The sequence below is a fragment of the Homo sapiens genome, chromosome 15 (assembly GCF_000001405.40).
Source record: "Homo sapiens chromosome 15, GRCh38.p14 Primary Assembly".
NCBI classification, from domain to species: Eukaryota; Metazoa; Chordata; class Mammalia; order Primates; family Hominidae; genus Homo; species Homo sapiens.
In genome coordinates, this window is record NC_000015.10 from 42,946,043 (window position 1) to 42,967,444 (window position 21,402).

The 21,402-nt window shown below is 41.6% G+C and overlaps 1 protein-coding gene across 1 annotated transcript in view; it reads right to left on the bottom strand.

The window, feature by feature from the left end:
• UBR1 (ubiquitin protein ligase E3 component n-recognin 1) overlaps positions 1-21,402 on the bottom strand; it is a 163,142-nt gene that overhangs the window by 3,146 nt on the left and 138,594 nt on the right. Inside the window, exons 41-46 of the mRNA NM_174916.3 lie at positions 20,111-20,244; positions 17,893-18,001; positions 14,603-14,659; positions 11,971-12,048; positions 6,236-6,406; positions 4,220-4,321 (exon numbers count right to left, since the gene is read on the bottom strand). Coding sequence (NP_777576.1) covers positions 4,220-4,321; positions 6,236-6,406; positions 11,971-12,048; positions 14,603-14,659; positions 17,893-18,001; positions 20,111-20,244 — 651 coding nt within the window. The remainder of the gene's footprint in view (positions 1-4,219; positions 4,322-6,235; positions 6,407-11,970; positions 12,049-14,602; positions 14,660-17,892; positions 18,002-20,110; positions 20,245-21,402) is intronic.

The window sequence follows — 21,402 nt, forward strand, 5'->3', positions numbered from 1 at the left end:
CTGTTGCCAGTAACGGAGAACTGTGAGATCCTAATTCCTTGAGACATTCAAGTCTCTCAGCTGGTTGGGGATTTTTTTTGTTTTTGTTTTTGTTTTTTGGAGATGGAGTTTCGCTCTTTTTGCCCAGGCTGGAGTGCCGTGGTACGATCACGGCTCAGGGCAACCTCTGCCTTCCAGTTTCAAGCAATTCTCCTGCCTCAGCCTCCAGAGTAGCTGGGATTACAGGTGCCCGCCACGATACCTGGCTAATTGTTTTTGTATTTTTAGTAGAGACGGGGTTTCACAATGTTGGCCAGGCTAGTCTCGAACTCCTGACCTCGTGATCCGCCCGCCTCGGCCTCCCAAAGTGCTGGGATTACAGGCGTGAACCACCGCGGCCGCCTGGTTGGGGATTTTTAAACTGCCAAATTAATGTTAAAACTCTGCTTTGTACCCTTGTGGAACAACTAAGATTCTCAGTCATTAACTACTTTCACCACTCTGCTTTTCTCCCTAAACCTAAAGACAGGTCAAATGTCATCCCAATAAAAAGAAAGCTCTGTGTGATCCAAGGTCCCAAGCCCCATCTAATAAGTGTATTCTTTCTGAGCAATATTTCAAAGGAACAAAATTTCAGTGAACCAAAAAGAGTTTATTGTAAGGAGGTCTAATCTTTATCTATATGTACTTTTGAGATCACTGTCAGTCTCCTCATTTTCATAAGTCATCAGTAGGACCCCAGTTCCTACCACCAGGGAAGGATACAGAAAAGTTCAGGATTCTAAATATTTTGTTAATGCTCAGAAGGAAAGAAGGCTGATATAGCTGGCTAATAAAAAGTCTCAGTTGGGTGCAGTGGCTCATGCCTGTAATCCCAGCACTTTGGGAGTCCAAGGTGGGCAGATCAACTGAGGTCAGGAGTTCGAGACCAGTCTGGCCAACACAGTAAAACCCCGTCACTACTAAAAATACAAAAAAAATTAGCCGGGTGTGGTGGTGCATGTCTGTAGTCCCAGCTACTTGGGAGGCTGAGGCAGGAGAATCGCTTGAACCCTGGAGGTAGACGTTGCAGTGAGCCGAGATCCAGCCTGGGTGACAGAGTGAGAGACTGTCTCAAAAAACAAAGAAAAAAAAAGTTTCAAGTATTGCAATGGAAACAATATCTCTAAAACAAACTTCATCACTGGACACTACAAACTTATACTATCAGTGTCAATCCTTTTAAGTAGTTCTGAAGAAAGGTTGATTACAAACAATAGAACACTGAAACATTAAGATGGCTGGTGTCTTTAAAAATTTTGGGGAAACACTACCTTCAAATTTTGGAGAAGTTGTTGAAAATTATGTGCTACAAGACAGGGATGCCCTCTCTCACCACTCCTATTCAACATAGTGTTGGAAGTTCTGGCCAGGGCAATTAGGCAGGAGAAGGAAATAAAGGGTATTCAATTAGGAAAAGAGGAAGTCAAATTGTCCCTGTTTGCAGATGACATGATTGTATATCTAGAAAACCCCATTGTCTCAGCCCAAAATCTCCTTAAGCTGATAAGCAACTTCAGCAAAGTCTCAGGATACAAAATCAATGTACAAAAATCACCAGCATTCTTATACACCAATAACAGACAAACAGAGAGCCAAATCATGAGTGAACTTCCATTCACAATTGCTTCAAAGAGAATAAAATACTTAGGAATCCAACTTACAAGGGACGTTTAGGACCTCTTCAAGGAGAACTACAAACCACTGCTCAATGAAATAAAAGAGGATACAAACAAATGGAAGAACATTCCACGCTCATGGGTAGGAAGAATCAGTATCGTGAAAATGGCCATACTGCCCAAGGTAATTTATAGATTCAATGCCATCCCCATCAAGCTACCAATGACTTTCTTCACAGAATTGGAAAAAACTACTTTAAAGTTCATATGGAACCAAAAAAGAGCCTGCATTGCCAAGTCAATCCTAAGCCAAAAGAACAAAGCTGGAGGCATCACGCTACCTGACTTCAAACCATACTACAAGGCTACAGTAACCAAAACAGCATGGTACTGGTACCAAAACAGAGATATAGATCAATGGAACAGAACAGAGCCCTCAGAAATAATGCTGCATATCTACATCTGATCTTTGACAAACCTGAGAAAAACAAGCAATGGGGAAAGGATTCCCTATTTAATAAATGGTGCTGGGAAAACTGGCTAGCCATATGTAGAAAGCTGAAACTGGACCCCTTCCTTACACCTTATACAAAAATTAATTCAAGATGGATTAAAGACTTAAACGTTAGACCTAAAACCATAAAAACCCTAGAAGAAAACCTAGGCATTACCATTCAGGACATAGGCATGGGCAAGGACTTCATGTCTAAAACCCCAAAAGTAATGGCAACAAAAGCCAAAATTGACAAATAGGATCTAATTAAACTAAAGAGCTTCTGCACATCAAAAGAAACTACCATCAGAGTGAACAGGCAACCTACAAAATGGGAGAAAATTTTCGCAACCTACTCATCTGACAAAGAGCTAATATCCAGAATCCACAATGAACTCAAACAAATTTACAAGAAACAAACAAACAACCCCATCAAAAAGTGGGCAAAGGACATGAACAGACACTTCTCAAAAGAAGACATTTATGCAGCCAAAAAACACATGAAAAAATACTCACCATCACTGGCCATCAGAGAAATGCAAATCAAAACCACAATGAGATACCACCTCACACTAGTTAGAATGGCAATCATTAAAAAGTCAGGAAACAGGTGCTGGAGAGGATGTGGAGAAATAGGAACACTTTTACACTGTTGGTGGGACTGTAAACTAGTTCAACCATTGTGGAAGTCAGTGTGGCGATTCCTCAAGGATCTAGAACTAGAAATACCATTTGACCCAGCCATCCCATTACTGGGTATATAACCAAAGGACTATAAATCATGCTGCTATAAAGACACATGCACACGTATGTTTATTGCGGGACTATTCACAATAGCAAAGACTTGGAACCAACCCAAATGTCCAACAACGATAGACTGGATTAAGAAAATGTGGCACATATACACCATGGAATACTATGCAGCCATAAAAAAGGATGAGTTCATGTCCTTTGTAGGGACATGGATGAAATTGGAAATCATCATTCTCAGTAAACTATTGCAAGGACAAAAAACCAAACACCATATGTTCTCACTCATAGGTGGGAATTGAACAATGAGAACACATGGACATAGCAAGGGGAACATCACACTCTGGGGACTGTTGTGGGGTGGGGGGAGGGGGGAGGGATAGCATTTGGAGATATACCTAATGCTAAATGATGAGTTAATGGGTGCAGCACACCAACATGGCACATGTATACATATGTAACTAACCTGCACATTGTGCACATGTATCCTAAAACTTAAAGTATAATAATAATAAAATAAAATAAAAAAAAAATTATGTGCTAAAGAATGACATCATATTTTTTAAATTTGAAGCCATTTAAAAGATAGCTCTCAGCCGGGCATGGTGGCTCATGCCTGTAATCCCAGCACTTTGGGAGGCTGAGGTGGGTAGATCACTTGAGGTCAGGAATTCCAGACCAGCCTGGCCAAGATGGTGAAACCCTGTCTCTACTAAAAATACAAAAATTAGCTGGGCATAGTGGCACATGCCTGTAGTCCCAGCTACTCGGGAGGCTGAGGTGGGAGATTCACTTGAACCCAGGAGGCAGAGGTTGCAGTGAGCTGAGATAGCGCCACTGCACTGTAGCCTGGGTGAAACAGGGAGACTCTGTCTCCCAAAATAAATAAATAAATAAATAATAAAAATAAAAAGTAGCTCTCAATTACTTTTTTTTTTTTTTAGACAGAATCTCCCTCTGTTGCCCAGGCTGGAGTGCAGTGGGCGATCTTGGCTCACTGCAACCTCCTGGGTTCAAGTGATTCTCCTACCTCAGCCTCCCAAGTAGCTGCGATTACAGGCATGCACCACCATGCCCAGCTAATTTTTGTATTTTTAGTAGCGACGGGTTTTCACCATGTTGGCCAGGCTGGTCTCAAACTCCTGGCCGCAAATGATCTGCCTGCTTCGGCCTCCCAAAGTGCTAGGAATACAGGTATAAGCCACGGTGTCTGGCCTCAATTACCTTTTGTGATTAAAGAACTATTACCGTTTACATACAATAATGTGACTGAAATAGAAAACAATCAACATAAAAGAGAACTTACTGAAACCTTCCTATTATATAAAAAAAATCTTACTTCAGGCCAGGGTCTGTTTCTCCATATTCATCCAAGTAAGGAGCTGGATAGGCACAGCCTCTGGCTTTACCTTCAACCAGGACCACTCGGCATTCTCTGATTCTGAAAGAGAAAATCAATAGGAAATATGGTTAAGTGTATGTGTGCAAATGATAGGCACTGCATCAATGTTAACCTAGAGAAAAGACGTGGCCAATATCTGTTAGATATTCAGTAAAAAGACAATATAAACAGACAAATAGACTAAATTATGTTTTGTCTAAATAAAAGAGAACACTTATTGCTATTTCTGTTGAAGCTATAGAAAAGGAGCAGTGGATTTGGTGAAATGAGATCATTTATACTGACGGAATCTGTTGAAGGGAGGAAACTGTCCTACTTCAGCCACAGACACCTTGGAAAATGGTGGCTGGGGTTGTTTCTATTCTAATTCCTGACACAACCTGGAGAGGGGAGGGAACCTCACAGAAGAACAGAATCACATCTCCTAGTCTGATAACCTCAAGCCAGACAGAATATCAACTAGGGAAGTATGCCAGCTTTTCTGGTTAGAGCTGGCCTGAAACACTGCAGATTAAAAGAGCCACTACCACCCTGAAGGCACCTGGGACTTTTATGTCTCTTGGGAAATAGACATAAAAAAGGCTTGCGTACACATATATGGGGGATAAGTACTTTACAGATAAATTATAAAATAAACAGCTGGGATAAGGTAGTGGGTTTACTTGCTGTGGGTTCCCTAAAAATAGGTGTTTGGGTTTGGCTTCCATACATTCTTTCCCCTTGGTTCAAAAGATGCCTATGAACAATGATTACATATTTCACAGTTAGAAAGACATTTGGCTTTATGTAACAGAAACTGTGTTACATGAGGAGAGTGGAAAGAAAAAGGATATATATCCACTTTGAATTTTATTTCTCTGCAGGCAACTTAAACTCTTTTTTCATAAATATAAGTGACTATTTTTCTTTTTTTTCCCAGATAGAGTCTTGCTCTGTCAACCAGGCTGGAGTGCAGTGGTGTAATCTCGGCCTACTGCAACCTCCACCTCCCAGGTTCAAGCGAATTCTCCTGCCTCAACCTTCTGAGTAGCTTGGATTACAGGCATGCGCCACCACGCCCAGCTAATGTTTGTCTTCTTAGCAGAGATGGGGTTTCACCACGTTGGCCAGGCTGGTCTTGAACTCCTGACCTTGTGATCTACCTGCCTCGGGCCTCCCAAAGTGTTGGGATTAAAGGCGAGAGCCACCGCGCCCGGCCATAAGTGACTATTTTTCTATCCTCAATCTTTTGCTGAAAGACCAGGAGAAATGGTGGGTTGATAGATGAAATAAAGATATCACAGGACAATCTAAAGTAAAAATTTACATGTACTTTTTTTTTTGATAGAGGATCTCACTCTGTTGCCCAGGCTAGAATGCAATGGCACGATCATGGCCTTGAACTCCCAGGCTCAAGCAGCCCATCCACCTCAGCCTCTCAAGTAGCTGGGACTGCAGCCATGTGCTACCATGCCTGGCTAATTTTTTATAGAGATGGGGGTCTCGCCTTGCTGCCCAGGCTGATCTTGAACTCCTGACCTCAAGTGATCCTCTTGCCTCAGCCTCCCAAAGTGCTGGGATTATAGGCATAAGTCACTGTGCCTGGCCTACATGTACCTTTTATTTGTTTATTTTTATTTATTTTAAAGAGCTCATCTTCCAGGAAGAGTACTTTTTAAATACAAGTTTTAGGACTTGAAGTTCTTTCATTACACCTGAGTATTATATAATACCAGAGCAATTAATACAAACTCTATCCTATTTAAGATTTTCCATAAATAATGGAAATGTGAACAGAAACTTATTCTTTTTTCACAGTATCTTCTCAAATGCAATTTCATGTCAATAACAGGTTAATACTCTAACTTCTGATTGATTATTTGCTATCAACACACTGTCCCACCATAGTGACCCCCAGATTGGATCCAGATTCCTTAAGTTCATCATGAAGCTTCCAGAACACTCACTACTCACTTTAGGAAAATGCAGACTCCGGCTCCACAGTGAAGTGCGTGAAAAATGCAAGCTCCAACCTCTTCCCCGTTCACAATTTCCTGGCAGCAAATGTTCTGAGAACATAGTATAGCCCCACAGAAAAGGCAGAGGACAGGATGCTTTCGCTCATCATCTGCAGACCGTGGGCACCTCAAAAGAGAAGAAAACATTTAGAGAATGATGGAAAAACAAAACAAAACAAATAAGTACCATATATCCTGTTAGCAATCAAGCATGTTTTCATCACTGACCCCTTTCCAGCAAGGAAGCTCTTAAAACACAAGGAAACATTTAATTAGCCAATTCCTCTTTAATATGCCCCCTAAAAGGGCTTCATGGAAAATCTTCCAATTAATCCATAGTAAGAAAATCTATATTACATAAATGGTGTCCTGATAATTCTCATAAAGTATGGTGGTTGAATATGCCTTGTGATTGAGATTCACTGATAGACTCCAGTCTTCATCTGACATGCCCAATTTACAGTTACCTGCCTCCTCTGTATTGTGTTAGTCAAGCTTGTGTCTTCGATGTTGAAGGAATATGACCTTGTAAGTATGCAATTGTTTAAAAGAAAAAAAATTAAAATTTACAGTAAGGGTCCAAACACATTCCCCCCATTTCTTTTCTTTTCTTTTTTTTTTTGAGACAGTCTTGCTCTGTCACCCAGGCTGGAGTGCAATGGCATGATCTCGGCTCACTGCAACCTCGGCCTCCCCGGTCCAAGCAATTCTCCTGCCTCAGCCTCCCGAGTAGCTGGGACTGAAATGAGAGATTGTAGCCTTTGAGTTGGCCCAGCCTTCCATCTGGGAATCACAGTAAGTCTTAGGAAGGAAAAAGTGATAGTGCTGACTTGCTTGAGTCAACTAGTGTTTTATGATGAGACCATTTTACATAGTATGCTGGAGGCGTGCTATAATGCCCCACCAAGGGGGATAATGGTTATCTTTTAAAAAGGAGTTTCCCATGCTCCTCCCATCTATGCTGTACACTGAACACAATGGGAAATATCAAATTCCTTAATTTGGGAAGTAGAAGATAAATGCAACCGAAGGAGAGATCCAACTAGGCCCACACTGGGGTCGGAATAAAGAAGATCAGAAAGAATCTCCAATAGGGTACTGACAGCCTTTTTTCTGATCCCCAGTTTCTCAGACAGGATAAAAAACAAAACAAAAAACACCTGTCTCCATAGGAGCAGAGGGACTCTGCGCATAGGATGAGAGGACTATTTTCACTTCCGGGAGGTTGCTCCAGAACATAATTATAGCCCTTTTTGGATAAAGCCAACATCTTCTTTCATCTTTAACACAGGATGGCTGAGTCTGAGTCATTAGACATCCTACAGAGGAAAAGCTGGGAGGGAGCCTAAAGTATATGACTGAGCAGCCACCCTCCAACACTAGGGATGGTTCTGTCTTATGGAAATTGGTGGTGACAATAAAACTGGAAGACATCATAGGATTGATTTTCATTCTTATGTGAAATCATAAGTGGTAATATCATCCAGAAGGATCCTCATTGTGATTAATAAAGACCAACACTCTCCACAGATCCTCCGAGGAGCCAACAACTTGATATTCTTTTTTTTTTTTTTTTTTTGAGACAGGGTCTGGCTCTGTCACCCAGGCTGAAGTCCAGTGTCACAGTCACGGCTCACTGCTGCCTCAACCTCCTCGGCTCAAGTGATCTTCTCTCCTCAGCATCCCGAGTAGCTGAGACTACAGGCACATGCCACCAAGCCTAGCTAATTATTTTGTATTTTTTGTAGAGACAGGGTCTCCCCATGTTGCCTAGGCTGGTCTTGAACTCCTGAGTTCAAGAGATTCACCCACCTCAGCCTCCCAAAGTGCTGGGGTTACAGACATGAGCCACTGTACTCAGCCAACCTGGTATTCTTAATGCCTGGAAGATAATATCTATTCACCAGGCTTTTGTGGTAGCAATGTAGCCCCAAGATTAGGAAAATTACTGAATTTAGAGATGGATGCAATCTTTGAAACTAATTAGCTAATTGTTTGAGGGCTGAAAGGTAAAGTGACCCAACCATTCCTTTAGATGATTGACTAGAAAGGGAGCTAGAACAGGAAGGTCAATTTTATACTGTAACAGTGGCTAGGGTGTGAGCTACTGAAGACCCTATTGGGCCAGTTAACTTCCCCAACTTCATGGCTTAAAACAATGGTTATAACTAGATAAGAGAATTTCCTGAGTCATTCCGCAGGGCAGTGATTCTCAGAGCGAGTCAAAGAGGGGCTCTTTAAGACCTCAAATGATCTTTTATTTTTTGAGACAGTCTTACTCTGTTGCCCAGGCTGAAGTGCAGTGGTGTGACCTCAGCTCACTGCAACCTGTGCCTGCACGTTGAAGTGACTCTCGTGCCTCAGCCTCCTGAGTAGCTGGAACTACAGGATGCGCCAACATACCTGGCTAATTTTTTTTGTATTTTTAGTAGAGATAGCATTTTGCCATGTTGGCCAGGCTGGTCTCAAACTCTTGGCCTTTAGTAATCTGCCCGCCTTGGCTTCCCAAAATGTTGGGATTACAGGCATAATCCACCGCACCTGGCCTCAAAATAACCTTAAACCGGCCAGGTGCGGTGGCTCACGTCTGTAATCCCAGCACTTTGAGAGGCTGAAGTGGGTGGATCACGAGGTCAGGAGTTCAAGATCAGCCTGGCCAAGATAGTGAAACCCTGCCTCTACTAAAAATACAAAAATTAGCCAGGAGTGGTGGCGGGTGCCTGTAATCCCAGCTACTCGGAAGGCTGAGGCAGAGAATTGCTTGAACCCAGGAGGCAGAGGCTGCAGTGAACTGATATCGTGCCACTGCACTCCAGCTTGGGCAACAGAGCGAGACTCTGTCTCAAAAACAAAACAAAACAAAACAAAAACAAATTTAAACTGCACTCCTTTTTTTTGGTTCCTTCAAATGACAGCAAGTTATTTCACATATGACTGAGGACTACTACATGAAAGCAGTTAATTATGACTACTAACTGCTATCCTTAAAACAAAATGTAAGAGTTATGTGTATTTACTGAGATCTTGAATTAATTTAAGTATTTTACTAAAACGTCTGGCTGCTGCATAATGCTTAGTAATATTACAAAACTCTTAAAGGAGCTTTGGAATTCTTGCAATTTGGAAAAAGGATGATTACTTACTAGTAAATCAATAAAGTCTTGAATAGGCTTTGTTTTTCAGGCTACTGAGATTCTTGTCTTTTAATTACAAGTTACTACTTGTTACATGTCATCATTATCAATGTGGTTTGCTATGGGAGGTGATATGATGCCTCCTGAGTATCCAGAATACATAGTTACATCAACAGAAGTTTTGGCTTAGTATTTTCAAGACATAATGCATTATGATTCAAATATGAAGTATTCACCCCCCAATGGTGAAAGCAGATGTGAATATAATTCCTCCATTCAGTGACATCTCACTGGTGGTGGTCATGATTCATGCTACTCAAATAACTTACAACATATTATAGCAAGGTAAGCATAATAAGATACAAAATTATGTTTAAGCTACAGGACATTATTTTATCATGTAGACACATGTTTAGGCTTATGCTCTTACAGAAGTAACTAATAGGTAAGTCACACACAATGTTAAAAATGAGTACCTGTATATTGTTAACCTATTTTGTTTTCACCAGTCTTTGTTATCATCCAGTTCTTTTTCCACTTGAAATTATCAGTGAAAGGGGTGAAAGAGATAAAAAAGTTTGGGAACCACTGCTTTAGAGTGGTTTGATTGAGGTGGGGGGATGGTGCCAAAAAAGCCTAAGCGGGTGTACTCCACTCTTCAAGCTTGAACCTGAGTCACGATGCTATTACCTGTTCTGCTGTTTAATGGGCTTCCATGTAAGATTTTGTTTAATAACGGTTCTTGTGGCTTAAAAAACAACAACAAAAAAAGATTAAGGAGTGATATCATAGAAAATGGTAGCTCCAGAAATCAGTCACTCTAATGAAACAACTGTTGAGCCAGCAAGAACTGCCTGAGGCAACTTTTTTTTTCTTTTGAGACATAGTCTCATTCACTCTGTCACCCAGGCTGGAGTGCAGTGGCACGATCTCGGCTCACTGCAACTTCTGCCTCCTGGGTTCAAGTGATTCTCACGCCTCAGCCTCCCAAGTAGCTGGGATTACAGGTGCGCACCACCACACCTGGCTAATTTTTGTATTTTTAGCAGAGGCAGAGGCGGAGTTTCACCATGTTGGCCAGGCTGGCCTTGAACTCCTGACCTCAAATTATCCACCCACCATGGCCTCCCAAAGTGCTGGGATTACAGGCATGAGCCACTGTGCCCAGCCTGAAGCAACTATTTTGGAACTCTGGAGCCTGGTGAAATGCTTGCAGCATCCAGGGGAATGCTTAATAAAGGAAGAAGCTGGCATTTTGTGTAGTGGCTAGCATCCTCTATTCCCCAATGTCATGGCAGGTAGCCATGGGGATGATGGCTTGTTTTTCTGGTGTGGCTTGCTTGTGTCAGGGTAGGCAATAGAGACGTCTTCCAAAAATTGAGGCTGTATGTTTAGATCTCTCTGGTGGTTCACTGAGGGGCCAGCAAGGATGTGAGAAAAAAGGCGCCCTCACACATTGCTGGTTGGGACATAAAATGGTGCAACCACTGTGGAAAACAGTTTGCAGCTCCTCAAAAAGTTAAACACAAAATTACCATATGACTCAGCAATTCCACTCCTGGGCATACATCCAAAAGAAATGAAAACTTTATGTCCACAAAGAAACTTGTAGATGAGTATTTTTTTTAGTAGCATTATCTGTAATAGTCAAAAGGGGGAAACAACCTAAATGCCCATCTATGGATGAAGGAATAAACAAACTCTTATATATACATACAATGGAATATTATTTAGTCAAAAAAGGAAAAAAGTAATGACATATGCTACGACTCGGATAAATATTAAAGACATGCTAAGTGAAAGAAGCCAAACACAAAAGGTCATATATTGTATCATTCCTTTCATATAATATATCCAGAATAGGCAAATCCATAGAGACAGAAAGTAGATTACAGATTACCATAGGGTACGGGATGAGGGGAATAAGAAGTGATTAGTGAGTACAAGGTGACGAAAAAGTTTGCAAACTAAAGAGGTGGTGATTGTACAACATTTTGAATACATTAAATGCCACTGAACTGTACACTTTATCATGGTTCATTGCATGTTATGTGGATTTCCCCTCAACTTAAAAAAAATTGACAACCACTGTTATGAAGGATACTCAGAGGTCACCGCTAAAAAAGGAAATTTGTGGCCAGGTGCAGTGGCTCATGCCTGTAATCCCAACATTTTGGGAGGCCAATGGGTAGGAGGATCACTTGAGCCCAGGAGTTCGAGACCAGCCTGGGCAACATAACGAAACCTTGTCTCTATGAAAAATTAAAAAAATTAGCAGGGCATGGTGGCGCCTGCCTGTAGTTTCACTACTTGGGAGATTGAGATGGGAAGAGCCCAGGAGTTTGAGGCTGCAGTGAGCTATAGTCAAATCACTGCACTCCAGCCTGGGCAACAGAGCAAGATCCTGTCTAAAAAACAAACAAACAAAAACAAAAAAACCCAAACCAAAACAAACAAAAAAACAAAAACAAGGAAGTGTGTTAGTTATGGCATATACCAATTGCGAGTTCAGAAAATGATTTAAAATTACACACATATATATACACACTCTCCTTACCTGAAATGAGAAGCTTGATTCAGGAGGCAGCTATAGTCATCAGGAAGCTCTATCAAACTATTTCTTTTTCTAGGGTACCTACAATGTAATTTAAAAGGCAATTTTATTTTAGAGTAAATAACCCCAGATCAAAAACTGCCCAAAGTGATAGAAGAATGTCTTAAAAATAACAAAAGGATCTACACTTGCAATCCAAAGTAATTCCCACTGTTGACTTGATCAAATCCAAACTTCTCAGCCTATAATTCCAAATCTTTCATCAGCTGGATTCCTTTCCAAACTTAACTTCCTCTAGTTTCTAGGACTAAACTGTTATAGCTAGATTTCTGTACTGTATAGGGAAGTAACATAAAGTAGTAGTTAAGAACACAGCCTTTGAAATTAGAGCTGGTTACAAATCCTAAATTCTCTGACACTTCACAAGTCTTTGAACCTAAGCCTGTATTTCCCTGTCTGTAAACTAGGGATAAAATATACCATACTCCAATCATGGGGCCACCATCAAATCAGGTTCTGGGGAAGGGAGGGAGAGAAACATTACATTAAATGAACTTATCAATTAAAAGGCTAATATTGATTTAAGAAATGTCAAATTAAATATGAATATTAGCATTAAGGAAACATATAGAGCGGTTGAGGACTAAATGAGATACTGAAGTAAAACACAATATACTTAGTACTTAATACATGCTTGCAAATGTTACTCATTCTCACCAAACTAGATACAATAAAAGCCTTGCTTGCATGTATTGGGGAAGATCATCTGAATAATGTGAAATTCTCTCCTCAAACCCCAGTCAATCAACCAATCAACCAATTTATTGATTTATTTATTGGAGGCAGAGTCTCACTCTATCCCTCAGGCTGGAGTGCAATGGTGCGATCTCGGCTCACTGCAACGTCCGCGTCCTGGGTTCAAGCGATTCTCATGCCTCAGGCTCCTGAGTAGCTGGGATTACAGGCGCCTGCCACCATGCCCAGCTATTTTTTGTATTTTTACTAGAGACGGGGTTTCGTCATGTTGGTCAGGCTGGTCTCGAACTCCTGACCTCAGGTGATCCGCCCACCTTGGCCTCCCAAAGTGCTGGGATTACAGGTGTGAGCCACGGCGCCTGGCCCCAATCAATTTAAATTCTGTAATTCTTTTCATCTTCAATTCAGTTGTCTATATTTAGTACAACCATAACATTTATTTGGCAAACCTAGACACTTTTTGGTTTGTTTTTTTAGAGACAGTATTCACTCTGTTGCCCAGGCTGGCCTTGAACTCCTAGGCTCAAGCAATACTCCTGTCTCAGGCTCCTGAGTAGCTGGGACTACAGGTGCATGCCACTGTGCCTGGCTTAAATTTTATAATTATTTCTATACTCAGCTAAAAATGATCTCTAAGACTAACCTTGCCTCATTAACAATCTTTTCCTCTTTAAATTTCTATAGCACTAATGGTATATTCCATACATCATTATACTTTATGTTATAATGTCTTAAGTTTTATGTTCATAACTAGATTGTAGATGACTCATGACCAAAAGCTATGTTACCTCTTTTAAATTTTCCAGAGTATTTCAGTACCATGCTGGGTAAATAGCAGATGTATAAAAGGTGTACAGTGAATTGAAATAAAGGAAAAATTGTGTGAGATTAACAGTCCAAAAATATGTATTCATATCTTAAACTTTTCTTTTTTCTCTACTCGAAGATCTTTTCTTAGTGATGTGACTCCTACTGCATCTGAGCACAGAGGCTGGATCTATTATCACTAAATCTCTAAAGATGTGTTACAAGTGAAAGCAGCATATGCACATGTACAGTGGAGGTGAAAGGAGTTCCAGGGTGAGAGAAGATGAGAAAAGGCGGCAAATGTGCACTGTCTTGAAGTTTGCTTTATCCACAGGAAAATGGTACTAGTGTTGGTATTTAAAGCTGGGAGTCAATTCCTCCACTTGTTTATAGATGTGATTCAAGTGAGTAAAATTAGACACCGTATACAATACCAGTCAGGCCCTCGGAGGGGATACAAAGACAATAAGCATGCAGTTCTTATTCGTCAGTTATTCTGGGTGCAAACAAGTGGACATTTATGAGAGAGACTATATTAGGGGAGGCTTCATGGAGGAGGTGGCATTTAAATTAGTACTTAAGAAGTAGATTTTGTTAGAGACAACTTAAGGGAGATAAGAGGGCTGAAGAAAAGTTTTTGGGGTAGTTTCTAAGGACACAGGAAGGAAAAAGGATATAGTTCTATGTATATCTTGCTTTATTCTAACAAAAAAAATCAAAAACAAAAGTGGCTTATAGAAATATTGTAAACCACTACCTTTTGAAGTTAATACACCAGCAGCTCCATGATGCCTCCTCCAACTTTGCCTTTTGACAGGTATGTGCTAGCTTAAAAAAGATTCTCTTAAGAGGAACTGCTGGCTTCTAATAATCTAAGAGGAAAAGGACAGCCACTCCAAGAAAAAAACATTTGTAGGAAGAATCTGATTTCTGGCAAAGACCTAACAGAAATCAGGAACACTGTACTGAGTGAGAATGAAGAAAGCAGACTAGAAACTATGCTCAACAAATCAACTACTTTAGGAAACACAACTTGTGGATGAGGGAGAAAGGATTAAGTAGTAAAACCAACCTGACCACGGTGTTTTTTTGCTTCAAACAGTTTAGTAAGGCAGGATCTGCACACCACCTGTATGTGGAGCCAAGAGAAAAGACAAATGGATTATCACAGCTTCAATGCATGATTTGTCAACAAGCCATTCTCTTTTTTTTTTGAGATGGATTCTCACTCTTTCGCCCAGGCTGGAGTACAGTGGCAGCAATCTCGGCTCACTGCAGCTTCTGCCTCCTAGGTTCAAGCAATTCTCCTGCCTCAGCCTCCCAAGTAGCTGGCACTCGCCACCACACCTGGTTAGCTTTTGTATTTTTAGCAGAGACGAGGTTTCCCATGTTGGCCAGGCTGGTCTCAAACCCCTGACCTCAAGTGATCCGCCCGCCTCAGCCTCCCAAAGTGCTGGGATTACAGACGTGAGCCACTGTGCCCAGCCTTGCCATTCTCTTCAATTCTTTCTGTCCCTTCTTTCTATTTCTATGTTCCCCCTTTTTTTTTTTTTTTTGTTTTGAGACAGTTTTGCTCTTGTCGCCCAGGCTGGAGTGCAATGGTGATCTCCACTCACTGCAACCTCCATCTCCCGTGTTCCAGTGATTCTCCTGCCTCAGCATCTTCAGTAGCTGGGACTACAAGCACACACCACCATGCCCGGTTAATTTTTTATTTTTTAGTAGAGACAGGGTTTCACCATGTTGGCTGGGCTAGTCTCAAACTCCTGACCTCAGGTGATCAGCCTGCCTCGGCTTCCCAAAGTGCTGAGATTACATGCAAATGAGCCACTGTGCTGGCCTATGTTCCTCTTTTTTTTTTTTTTTTTTTAGATGGAGTCTCACTCTGTCACCCAGGCTGGAGTGCAATGGCGCGATCTTGGCTCACTGCAACTTCTGCCTCCCAGGTTCAAGTGATTCTGATGCCTCAGCTCCCGAGCAGCTGGGATTACAGGCATGCGCCACCACGCCTGGCTAATTTTTGTATTTCTTTTTTTTTAGTAGAGATGGGGTTTCACACCATGTTGGCCAGGCTGGTCTTGAACTCTTGACCTCAGGTGATTTGCCCACCTCGGCCTCCCAAAGTGCTGGGATTACAGGTGTGAGCCACTGTGCCTGGCTCTGTGTTCCTCTTTCTATACTTATCTTTTTTTTTGTTTTTGAGATGGAGTCTACCTCTGTTGCCCAGAGTGGAGTCCAATGGTGTGGTCTTGGCTCACTGCAACCTTCGCCTCCAGAGTTCAAGCAATTCTCCTGCCTCAGCCTCTTGAGTAGCTGGGACTACAGATGTGCGCCAACATGCCCAGCTAATTTTTTTTTTTTTTTTGTATTTTTAGTAGAAATGGGGTTTCACTATCTTGGCCAGGCTGGTCTCAAACTCCTGACCTCGTGATCCAAAGTGCTGGGATTACAGGTGTGAGCCACCGCACCCAACCTTATATTTAACTTATTTATATTTATCATTTTGCCCCTTTTCTTCTCCCTTTCTTTCCTCTCTTTCTTTGTTGTGTCTAATTATTTTTCTTCTCTTATTCATTTATTTTTTACAGAGTATATCATCCAAGGTCTTACTAGAAAAACAGAAACCATTCTAAGTATTTAAACAAGAGAGAATTTAACAGGAGTTAGTAATAAAAGTGATGGAAGGGCTGAGAAGCCAACCATGAGACAAAAAGGCAAGGCAAACTAAAGATCACCACTCCCCTAGGCTGGAGGAACAAAAGGAAACAGCGGTATCATGGAGCCCAGAGGCTAGGGACACCAGCAGATACTGGAATCACAGCAGGCTTGTCTGGTGGGAACTGGAGCCAGACAAGAGCTGCCGTCACCATCAGAGATGCCCCACAAGACAGACAGAGCTAGCCTGAACTGGGGCCTCTCTTTTTTTTTTCTTTTGGAGATGGAGTCTTGCTCCATCACCCAGGCTGGAGTGCAGTGGTGAGATCTCAGCTCACTGCAACCTCCGCCTCCTGGGTTCCAGCGAGTCTCCTGCCTCAGCTTCCCCAGTAGCTGGGATTACAGGTACCTGCCACCACGCCTGGCTAATTTTTGTATTTTTAGTAGAGATGGGGTTTCACCATGTTAGCCAGGCTGGTCTCGAACTCCTGACCTCAGGTGATCCACCTGCCTTGGACTCCCAAAGTGCTGGGATTACATGCATGAGCCACCACGCCTGGCCAACACTGGGGCTTCCCTTTTTCCTGGCCACCAAAATCTTGCCAGTGCTTCCCCTCCCACTGGCTGAACCCATGCAGAAGTCAGCTGACAAGGTAGACTGGGAAATTCCCAGGGTCACTTTCCTGCAACATAGGGCAGAGGATGAGAGAAGACTTTCAGACAAGGAGGGTCTGGAAAGATACAGAGGGCAAGGACTTTCTGTTTCAAAGTGTGAATTTTTAATACTTGACTGAACTAGAACAGCAATTAAGACTTTTCTACTCCAAGAATATAAAAGTAAAATTAGTTAACCTACTGTGATTGTACTCAACACAAAGCATGATACTGATTTTCTTAAACAATTCATTTTGATCACGCTAGAGATCAGAATATTTCGAGAGAAATGAGGAAGCAAAGAAAAGAACCCAACACAGAGAACCCACTGCACAAGAAGGGTGGTAGGAGACAGAAGCCAACGTTCACACAAATACTGACCTGGGTATTTAAAAAAAAGACAATTAAAGAAAAAGGTAGAAAGCAAGGAGAATAAAGGAAATGATGGGCAAGGAAAGCAATACAGTGAGAGCTGATTATAAAAATGATAGAAAATGGTGCAGGCAAAGATAGGGTAAGAAGACTGGAGGTTAGCAGCATTGACAGTGCACAAGAGGGCCAGTAACCAATAGGGTAAAAAGTTTTTCTGAAAGAAGGACACATTTCTCTCTTGGAAATTTAACTGAAGTATTTTTTTTGATCTACCAAATGACCTTCCTTCTTTTCTCAGTCACTCTCCTGATACATGCGCTACCATGTGAGATATGCTCCTATTTTGGATACAGTTCCAATTTGGGTTCTTTTGATACTAACTGTGACTTTATGCCTGCTAGCAAAATCCCCACCCCCCACCCCCAATTTAAAACAGATGAGACACCAGCTGTGGGGAAAGTAAATAAAATGAATGATAGTTATAGTGGAGCAAGCAGAAATTCCAACTGCCTATGGCTGTTGATCTTATCCCCACTTCTTAAGTGTGTAACTTAGGAATCTCCTATACTTTTGCCACCCCTTTAATCAGTGCTGATTGAACTAAAAGCTTAGCAAGTAATTGTAATTTTAAAATTTCAAATTGTATAATAACCCAACAACAATATTTTATCCCCATAGTACCTCTGGAGCAAGGGCCTTACAGTATCCCAATATTCCTGGAAGAGCAGGAACAAATTTGTAGGTAAAGATAGATAGCTACAGAGTGCACTGTACTCTCCTTCTGCAGAATCTGCAAGAGAATAAAAATACATTTAATAAGCACATTATTCTTACCTGGTCAATCTGTGCATTAGAGTTTCTTCACTGTTTATGCTTATTTCTACACTCTCCTTGTAGAGGGTATATTGCTTATTCTATAAAACCATGGGTGGCAGTCCGGGCACGGTGGCTCATGCCTGTAATCCCAGCACTTTGGGAGGCCGAGGCGGGCGGATCACCTGAGGTCGGGAGTTCAAGACCAGCCTGACCAACATGGAGAAACCCCATCTCTACTAAAAATACAAAATTAGCCAGGCGTGGTGGCACATGCCTGTAATCCCAGCTACTAGGGAGGCTGAGGCAGGAGAATTGCTTGAACCCGGGAGGTGGAGGTTGCAGTGAGCTGAGATCGCGCTATTGCACTCCAGCCTGGGCAACAAGAGCGAAACTCCGTCTCAAAAAAAAACAAAAAACAAACAAACAAACAAAACCCATGGGTGGCAAATAAGTCACAGTGATTTTTTTAAAACATAAATTGTATCGAGTCACTCTCCTGATCGGATGGCTCTAATGTGTAACCACACTTAGTATAAAATACAAGGTCCCTATCGTGGCCCAAAGGTCCTGTGTGAGCTGCCCCTGGTTGCCTCTTAGACCTCATCTCCTGTCATCTCCTGTTACCCTCCCCCTTAGGCTTCAGCCATACTCATCTCTTTGCAATTCTGTGACTACGTCAAACGAAGCCTTGACATTTATAACTTCTTCTATTTAGGAATATTCTTCCTTCAACTGTCTGTTCAACTCAACCCCCTCTATGTAGCTGTTTGCTCAATGTCTCCTCACAGAGAAGCATTCTATGAAAACTATCTCAGAGAGTTCCCCACTCTGGCCCCAATACCCTCTATTCCTGAACTGCTTCATTCTGCCTTGCAACATTTATCAGCATTTGACATTACATTATATGTATTTCTCTATTTGTTTATAATTGGATTCCTCCCAATAAAAAGGACTTTATTTCACTCACAACTGTACTGTAGCACCTATGAGATAAATACATGACTTTTTTGTATGTGAGCAAACAACAGATCTGTGCTGGCAATTACTTGGAAAGTGGACTCCTATTTTATACAAGACCATGAAAAACCTAGATCAGATAAACCCTACTGAACTGAGTTCAAGATAAAGAAGCTGATAGCCAGTAACGGTAACCTGGTCAGCTTATTCTCAAAGGACAAAAGGAAGAATCTCAGCAATTTTGATGACTCTTCCAAAATCATATAAATATTCTGATTTTTACCCATACAAAGCCACAGGAAGGCTTCCCTACTTTGGTCTAGATTTAGAGGCAAGTAAATGAGAAGGTGATCCTATTGCTTAAATATGCATGGCCTAGGTTGGTTCTAGTAGGCCTTTCCTAGCAGCACTTTCATTCTTTAATGTAGTCATATGTACTTTTTTTTTTTTTTTTTGAGACAGAGCCTTGCTCTGTCACCCAGGCTGGAGTGCAGTGGCGCAATCTCGGCTCACTGCAACCTCTGCCTCCTGGGTTCAAGTGATTCTCCCACCTCAGCCTCCTGAGTAGCTGGGATTACAGGCAATATGCCACCATGCCCAGCTAATTTTTTTGTATTTTTAGTAGAGACGGGGTTTCACCATGTTGGCCTTGCTGGTCTCGAACTCCTGACCTCAAGTGATCCACCCGCCTCGGCCTCCCAAAATGTTGGGATTATAGGCGTGAGCCACCACACCCGGCCTACATGTCCAAAATTTAAATAACAGAGTATACAGTAAAGTCTTCCTCCTATCTAGCCAAACAATTCTCTTCTCTAAAGACAACCAATGTTTCTAATTTCTTGTATAGCATATCAGTTATATTCTGCATGCAGGTATTTTATAAGCTCAAGCACATAACCTATACATAGATAGGAGCGAAGAGTAGGTCTTGCAGATTATAAAGCTAATATACTTTTTGGCCTCACCTTTAACCTACACCAGGGCTCATGTTTGAAGGGAACACACATGAAAGAAATGGGGAGAGGAGAAGTGGTTTTATCTGCTTTAACCTTGTATTCATGAGCTTGAAGGTAAGAACAAAGAAAATCTCCCATTTTCCACTCCATGATTTCATTTTTCTACTTACTGGTATGCAGTTCCTCAGGCGGAGTTACCCCAAGTAAATAGTGGAAAAACAATGCAGCACAGCGAAGATAAGGGGTGATGCCATTCTTCAGTGAGACCCACAAATACCAGCCAGGAATATCACACCCAATGGAGCTAGGAGACAATAATTCCAGAAGAGAACAGAATACATATCAGACTAAAGCCCTAGATTTAAACATATCCCCCTTTTCAAATACAAAGTTAAACATTTAGGTAATTTATTATCCATGCAATTTTTAAACATTTAAAACAAAATATAATCCCAGCACTCTGGGAGGCCAAGGCAGGTGGATCACCTGAGGTCAGGAGTTCAAGACCAGCCTGGCCAACATGGCAAAACCCCAGTCTCTACTGAATTAGCCGGGCATGGTGGTGGGCACCTGTGATCCCAGCTACTCGGGAGGCTGAGGTGGGAGAACTGCTTGAACCCAGGAGGTGGAGGCTGCAGTGAGCTGAAACTGTGCCACTGTACTTTAGCCTGGGCAACAGAGCGAGACGCTGACTCAAAAAAAAAAAAAAAAATTTGAGTAGCAAATAGTTTCAGTGTTTAAATCTCCTAATAATTTCCTCAAGAAAATCACAAATCTTACATATTTTACCATGTGGATTTTTAAGGCAAGGAACTACTCTTCTTTTTCCTAGGTGGTGATAAAAAACAAAAGCAAAACAAAAACAAAGAGGCAACCAAAAAATCTACTTTAAAGGAACTTGACTCTTAAATAAAGTATACTCTTTATTTTCAAATTTTTATTATTATTATTTTTTGAGATAGAGTCTTGCTCTGTCACCCAGGCTGGAGTGCAGTGCTGCGATCTGGGCTCACTGCAACCTCTGCTTCCCAGGTTCAAGTGATTATCCTGCCTCAGCCTCCCGAGTATCTGGGACTAAAGGCACACGCCACCATGCCTAATTTTTTGTATTTTTAGTGGAGACAGGGGTCTCACCATGTTGGCCAGGATGGTTTCGAACTCCTGACCTCGGGTGATCCGCCCGCCTCAGCCTCCCAAAGTGCTGGGATTATAGGTCTGAGTGACCATGCTCAACTAGTTTTTTTTTTTTTTTTTTTTTTAAATAGAGACAAGGTCTCACTATCTTGCTCAGGCTGATCTTGAACTCCTGGGCTCAAGCAATCCTCCTACCTCAGTTTCCCAAAGTGCTGGGATTATAGGTATGAGCCACCGTGACTGGCCTAAAATAAAGTATATTCTTCAACATAAAAGTTAAAGGTTACTAAAGCTTCCTTTTTTTTTTTTTTGTTTAGATTAAAACCTT